General features: G+C 47.7%; 1 annotated feature.

Annotated features, from left to right (window-relative positions):
• Positions 425 to 634: an enhancer, noted in NCBI's record as "active region_2351". NCBI's record gives its function as "activates an Ori minimal core promoter by ATAC-STARR-seq in GM12878 lymphoblastoid cells {active_cell/tissue: GM12878}" and the evidence as "EXISTENCE:reporter gene assay evidence [ECO:0000049][PMID:35858748]".

The raw sequence follows: 7,090 nt of genomic DNA, 5'->3' as shown, positions 1-7,090 counted from the left end.
TCCTCCTGCAGCCTTGCGCCTCAGCCCTTCACCTTAGCCTCTGTGGCTCCTTGGCCTCCGTTCCCTTTGCCTCTGCTCTCCATGCCTCTGCCTAGAGCAGGGACCGTCTCTGGAGACAGTGAGTGGGTCCTGAAGGTGGAAGAATTTCACAGGATGCCCCAGCCCCAATCTGGGCATTTAGACTAATCTCAGAAGAGTTGAATTCTGTTCTTAAAGTTGCACTGGGCAAGATACGCCCATGAGAAGGGGGTGGGTGTCTGCCTGATTTGGCAGAGGATGACACAGGGACCCAGGGCTGACCTGAGGACGAGTGTACCACGCTGTCAGGCAAAAACCCAGAGAGCCCAGGTCACATGTCAGAGAAAGGGCTTTAACATGGGATTCTTACACCATGGAGCCCAAGGCTCACCTCCATGCAAGGGAAGGAACAACACCCTATGGGGACAAAGGCTTCTGAGCCCTTTAGTTAATGGGACAAAAGCCTTCAGGAGGAGTGAGATCACGGCCTGCTTTCTGTCCACCGTGGGGCACCCGTGCACTTCAAGGAAGGCCCAGGAGGAGCTGCCAGCACAGCTCTGTCCAGGGTGAGGAGTGAGTGGCTTGCAGAGGAGCCACTCCACGATGCCCTGGCAAGCCCCTGTCACATTCCAGAGCACAGAGGACCACGAACTCCCAGCTTGGCTCAAGGCATGCGGGGCTGGCACACAGCCCAGGCATTTCCTCCCCTCCCATCCCTCTTTCTCATTCTCTTTCTGCATCCTGGTGCTAAAGGTTCTGCTGGAGCTTCCGTCTCTCTTCTCTGCAGAGGGAGAATAGGGAAAGGAGTGGGTGTCAGCTGGGAGAAATTTCCACTCAGTTTAATGTTGCTGGAAATCCAGACATCTCTAAAATATGGGCTGAGGACCCCCACGTGCCCAGCACTGTGCCAGCCAGCCCCAGAATGCAGAGATGAAGAAGAGCTGTCTATTGAGGACAGAGGAGACTGCTTATGGATGTGTCCTTGACAGCCACCTTGGCTGGGCACGTGGAAGAGATCACAGGAGGCAATGTCAGTGAGGGTTGTGCACCACTGCACCCTGCAAGCTGCCTGAGGGTGGGCCCACCTAGCACAGTGCCTGGCCTGCTGGAGGAGCTCAGTACACATTTGTTGAGTGAATTAGTGGAATGAGGTAGTTTAGGAAGGCTTTCTGGAGGAAAGAAAATCTGAACAGGGCCCAGAGAGGATGGGTGGAATTTGACCAGGCCAAGTAGAAAGGAATGTATCCTGTGCGGCAGAGAGCCCTAAAAGGAGAGGTAAGGAAGGGGACAGTCCACAGTAGGCTGTTCTAGACAGGAGCATGGGGAACAGCTCCTTTGTTACTCTCAGGATAAAGCCAGGCCCCCCGGTTCACTCGCAAGATCCTTCTCATCTGGCTCTGCCCACCCTTCATTACTGCCTCTTCCCACAGCACCCTGGTCCTCTATTCCAGCTGACTCAAGCATTTATTTGCAATCCATGGGACAAGACCCTTGCTCTCTCTCCTCCAGGCCTGTGAACAACTCTCCTCCCCTCTGCCAGGAAGGCCTCCACCTGTACCTCTCCCTGTCTCTCCAGCTCCTCCTGACACCATTGATCTCTCCTGACACCAGTGGTCTCTCCTGCGAGGACCTCACCTTCTGAAGTCAGGTTGGTCACTGTTCCTAAGTGCAACATGCCTCTCTCTGCTTGCCGCATGCTCATGCCATCCCCATGAATTGTTATTCCTGGTCTGTCTCCCCCTAGACAGGTCCTAGACTGAACCATGGTCATGGTCCTAGACTGGTCATGTTCCAGTGCACCAGATTCCCCACTCCGAGATGATCGATTACAGTCAGAGACAATTAACTACGGCTTCAGCAATGTGTGAGAGGCAGCCAGCATCAAGGGAGGCAAAGCACAGCCGTCAAAACAGAGATCACACAGTCCCAAACAGCCTCGACCCTGGCTCACATAAACTTTCCCGTCTCTAAGTGGGAGAGGCAGGCTGATGCAGCCATGGCTTTCAAAGCTTTTCCATAAGATGTTAGTGATTTCTGATCACACTTGGCAAACATCCTTTGTGGGTGTGGATTTCTGATTAGCCTGTAAATTCCTTGGAGCTGAAGAATCAAGTCCAATTCTCCTTTGTATTATCAGTTAAACATCACACCGGGCACATGGGAGGCTTAATAAAGAATTATTTCTTTATTTGGTTAACTACTTATTCATTGATCAAACTCACTTAAGGCAATGTCATTATAATTTCCAGTCTTGACTTCAATCTTGAACAGGCTGCAGGAACGGTTCTCACACCTAGAGCTTATGCCCAGAAGATTACATAATACCAGCAGTAGGAAATGAGAAGCTACAGTAGTAAATGGGAAGTCAGTTTCCAGCTAAATTCCATATGCTCAGAGGTGGAAAAGGCTTTAGAGAGCATCTAGCCCCCACCCTCACTTTATAAGATGGGAAACTGAGACTGTGATATGGAAATTATTTGTCCAAGGTCACAGGACATCATTTACTTGTTGGATCCAGTTGTTTGACCTTGGTCTTTGAGGTTCAGTCTTCTCTCCATTATACCATTTCAGCTTCCTCTACCACCAGTAAGAATCCTCCAACTGCCCATTCCCAAGAAGGAGCCTGGTAGAAAGACCATGGATATTTGTGTCAAACCTGAGTTCAAATCCTGATTCTGCTACTTAATTGCCATTCAACTAAGAGAGCCTTGTATATTACTCAAATTACCCACTTGTGAAACAGAGAAATAGCACCTACTTTGGAGGGCTGGAGTGTGAATTACAGATGGGATAATGTCTGCAGCGTGCCCAGCCCTGTGCTTGATATGGTGGCTCTCAATAAATGTCAGTTCTGCCCCTTCCTCTGGTTCTTAGAGTTGTTTTGCCTTCTCTGTCTTTTCCCTCTTAGAAAATCTTAAGGTCTACTTAGAAGGGCCTCTCAGAGGTCTTTTGGCCCACTTCCCTGCATGTATTTAGGGCTGACCCCTCTCTTCCCTCTAAAGCATTTCATCCTATCCTGGAACTTCTAAAGAAGGCATTTCACTGTATAACTCAGGCTAGTGGATAAAAGTTAGGTAGGGCCTCTCTTCTTCCTCCCATCTAGCCCAATACTTCCTACTGCAATTTAGGAATGAAGTTATTTTCTCTGTTTTGCTTTCCAGGAGGATGCAAAAATATTTTTTTCCTTCTTCCCTTCTTTTTCCACCATATCTGTTTATTTTTTCTTCAATATCCTGATTTCTCCTCCTTTTCTCCTTCCCCTGGGCTTTTAGAACTACCCCCACCCCTCTCTCTGTGCCCCTGTCCCTGTCTTTTCTTTTCAGATGGGCAGCGGACTGATGATATCCCGCATATTAGGGTGGCCCCTCCCACATCCCATTCCCGCCCAGACATCTCAGCCCTGCTCAATGCCCGCCTCTGGCGGAGACCTTATCTCTGCCCACCACACCGCAGCTCCAGCTGCCGTCCTGGGCAGACTGAAACCAAACAGCTAGGGTGAGTCTGTATTGGATCCTGATGGCTGGCTGACCCAGCTGCCTGCTCCCGGGAGAAGTAGGATGAGGGGACAGGTGGAAGTTGAGGCCGCCTTCCTAGCTCCTCTGACAAATGCCAAAGGGACCTGTAGAGCCTCCTGCCATTCCACAGGGTGGGTGCTACTAGCTCTCCTTCTCCCAGACCCCTCTCCTTGACTGTGCTGGCCTCATTGCCAGAAAAATTCCAGGGCAGGTGGAGGCAATCTGCCTGGAAAACAAACCCGGTGCCAAGCCACTGCAGGATGGGCCAAAGGATTTCGGTGGAATCCCAAAACTCGCAGCGCGGACCGAATCTTGTAAATCAGGAGGGGCTTGTTGCTCTAAGCGGCCTGACCTTTCTTTTCTTCTTCTTCTTCTTCTTCTTTTTTTTTTTTTTTTAATTATACTTCAAGTTCTAGGGTACATGTGCACAACATGCAGGTTAGTTACATATGTATATATGTGCCATGTTGGTGTGCTGCATCCATTAACTCATCATTTACATTAGGTATATCTCCTAATGCTATCCCTCCCCGCTCCCCTCACCCCACGACAGGCCCCGGTGTGTGATGTTCCCCACCCTGTGTCCATGTGTTCTCATTGTTCAATTCCCACCTATGAATGAGAACCCGAGGTATTTGGTTTTCTGTCCTTGCAATAGCTTGCTCAGAATGATGGTTTCCAGCTTCATCCATGTCCCTTCAAAGGATATGAACTAATCCTTTTTATGGCTGCATAGTATTCCATGGTGGATATGTGTCACATTTTCTTAATCCAGTCTATCATTGATGGACATTTGGGTTGGTTCTAAGTCTTTGCTATTGTGAATAGTGCCTCAATAAATATATGTGTGCATGTGTCTTTATAGCAGCATGATTTATAGTCCTTTGGGTATATACCCAGTAATGGCATCGCTGGGTCAAATGGTATTTCTAGTTCTAGATCCCTGAGGAATCGCCTCACTGTCTTCCACAATGGTTGAACTAGTTTGCAGTCCCACCAATAGTGTAAAAGTATTCCTATTTCTCCACATCCTCTCCAGCACCTGTTGTTTCCTGACTTTTTAATGATCGCCATTCTAACTGGTGTGAGATGGTATCTCATTGTGGTTTTGATTTGCATTTCTCTGATGGCTAGTGATGATGAGCATTTTTTCATGTGTCTGTTGGCTGCATAAATGTCTTCTTCTGAGAAGTGTCTGTTCATATCCTTTGCCCACTTTTTGAATGGGTTGTTTGATTTTTTCTTGTAAATTTGTTGAAGTTCTTCGTAGATTCTGGATATTAGCCCTTTGTCAGATGGGTAGATTGCAAAAATTTTCTCCCATTCAGTAGGTTGCCTATTCACTCTGATGGTAGTTTATTTTGCTGTGCAGAAGCTCTTAATTAGATCCCATGTGTAAATTTTGGCTTTTTTTTGCCACTGCTTTTGGTGTTTTAGACATGAAGTCCTTGCCCATGCCTATGTCCTGAATGGTACTGCCTAGGTTTTCTTCTAGGGTTTTTACGGTTTTAGGTCTAACATGTAAGTCTTTAATCCATCTTGATTAATTTTTGTATAAGGTGTAAGGAAGGGATCCAGTTTCAGCTTTCTACATATGGGTAGCCAGTTTTCCCAGCACCATTTATTAAATGGGGAATCCTTTCCCCATTTTTTGTTTTTGTCAGGTTTGTCAAAGGTCAAATGGCTGTAGATGTGTGGTATTATTTCTGAGGGCTCTATTCTGTTCCATTGGTCTATATCTCTGTTTTGGTACCAGTACCATGCTGTTTTGGTTACTGTAGCCTTGTAGTATAGTTTGAAGCCAGGTAGCATGATGCCTCCAGCTTTGTTCTTTTGGCTTAGGATTGTCTTGGCAATGCAGGCTCTTTTTTGGTTCCATATGAACTTTACAGTAGTTTTTTCCAACTCTGTGAAGAAAGTCATTGGTAGCTTGATATGGATGACACTGAATCTGTAAATTAGCTTGGGCAGTATGGCCATTTTCACGATATTGATTCTTCCTATTCATGAGCATGGAATGTTCTTCCATTTGTTTGTGTCCTCTTTTATTTCGTTGAGCAGTGGTTTGTAAGCAACCTGACCTTTCTTGTGCTGGCGGCTCCCTGCTTGCTTTTTGCCTCATTCCCACTCCCTGTCTGGAGTTGGGGGCGGGGTGGGGGATAAAGGGGGTGGGAGTGGTCAGGAACAGAGGGAAAGCAGCCGGAGGGGATTGATGGGCTGATTGAGCTGAGCATGAACCATCCCTCTGCCTGGCTGTGCCCTTCGACCTGCCTCAGACTAGAAGGCCTCATTGGTATTCCAGGCCAGGCCAGCCTGGGGAAGAACAACGAGATATATTCGGGTGCTTTTCAAAGCACCTTCATTTATTAATCCATTTTATCCCTCTGGCAGCCCTGGACAGACATAAGGTGAGAGACAGGCCTGAGGGCCGCGGAGGGCCCTGAGTCCGTGCTTGCATTCCTCCCAGCACATTGGCTCCCCAGGCCCCTGGAGTCTGCTGCCTCTTGCATTGGAGACCACCCCCATAGACAGCGGTGCCTTCTGTTGCTCCAGAGAGGAGACTTCCAGAAGCTTCCACACGCTGGCCTCATACTGAGGTGCTTGAGAACATGGACTCTGGTTCAAAATCTGGCTCTGCCCTCTACCAACTGTGGTACCTTGGCCAAATTCCTTAGCCTTTCTGGGTCTCAGAGCTAATACCTACCTCACAGTGTTGTTAGGGTGACTAATTGAGTTTTTTTTTGTTTTGTTTTGTTTTGTTTTGTTTTGTTTTGTTTTGTTTTTTGAGACAGAGTCTCACTCTATCACCCAGGCTGGAGTGCAATGGCATAATCTCGGCTCACTGCAACCTCCGCCTCTTGGGTTCAAGTGATTCTCCCACCTCAGCCTCCCGAATAGCTGGGATTACAGGCAGCCACCACAATGCCTGGCCAATTTTTGTACTTTTAGTAGAGACGGGGTTTTACCACGTTGGCCAGGCTGGTCTGGAACACCTAATCTCAGGTGATTTGCCCACCTTGGCCTCCCAAAGTGCTGGGATTACAGGCGTGAGCCACCGTGCCCAGCCTAATTGAATTAATACTTAGGAAGTGCTTAGAGCAGTACCTGATATGTAGTAAGTCCTGTGTTAGCGTTTGCTAAATAAATTGGTCCCAGCTCTGAAATATGGGATTGCACAGCTGCCAGCTTATCTTGCAGGTCTGGATAGCCCTCACAGGCTCCCTAGACCTCTTCTTCTCCAAGCCCTTCATTTGCTCAGTAAATATTTATTGAGCACTTACCATGTGCCTCTGTGTTTGGCATTGGGTTGGCTGTGTGAACAAAACAAAATGGTCCCAGTGCTCATGGGATTTATTGTCAATGCACATATCAATACATAATGTCAAATCATGCTGTATACTACTAAAGAATCAAAAAATAAGACACTGCAAGAGAATAACAGGGCAAACCTACTTGGGGTGTTGGGGGCTAAGAAAGGTCTATATGGGGAAATCACCTTTGAGCTCAAATCTGAAGGATGAGAAGGAGCAGGTATAGGATTTGGGTGGTGGGAAAGA

The sequence above is a fragment of the Homo sapiens genome, chromosome 1 (genome assembly GCF_000001405.40).
Source record: "Homo sapiens chromosome 1, GRCh38.p14 Primary Assembly".
Classification (NCBI taxonomy): Eukaryota; Metazoa; Chordata; class Mammalia; order Primates; family Hominidae; genus Homo; species Homo sapiens.
Note: the sequence above shows the minus strand (reverse complement) of the source record. Positions and strands in the feature narration are given on the sequence as shown.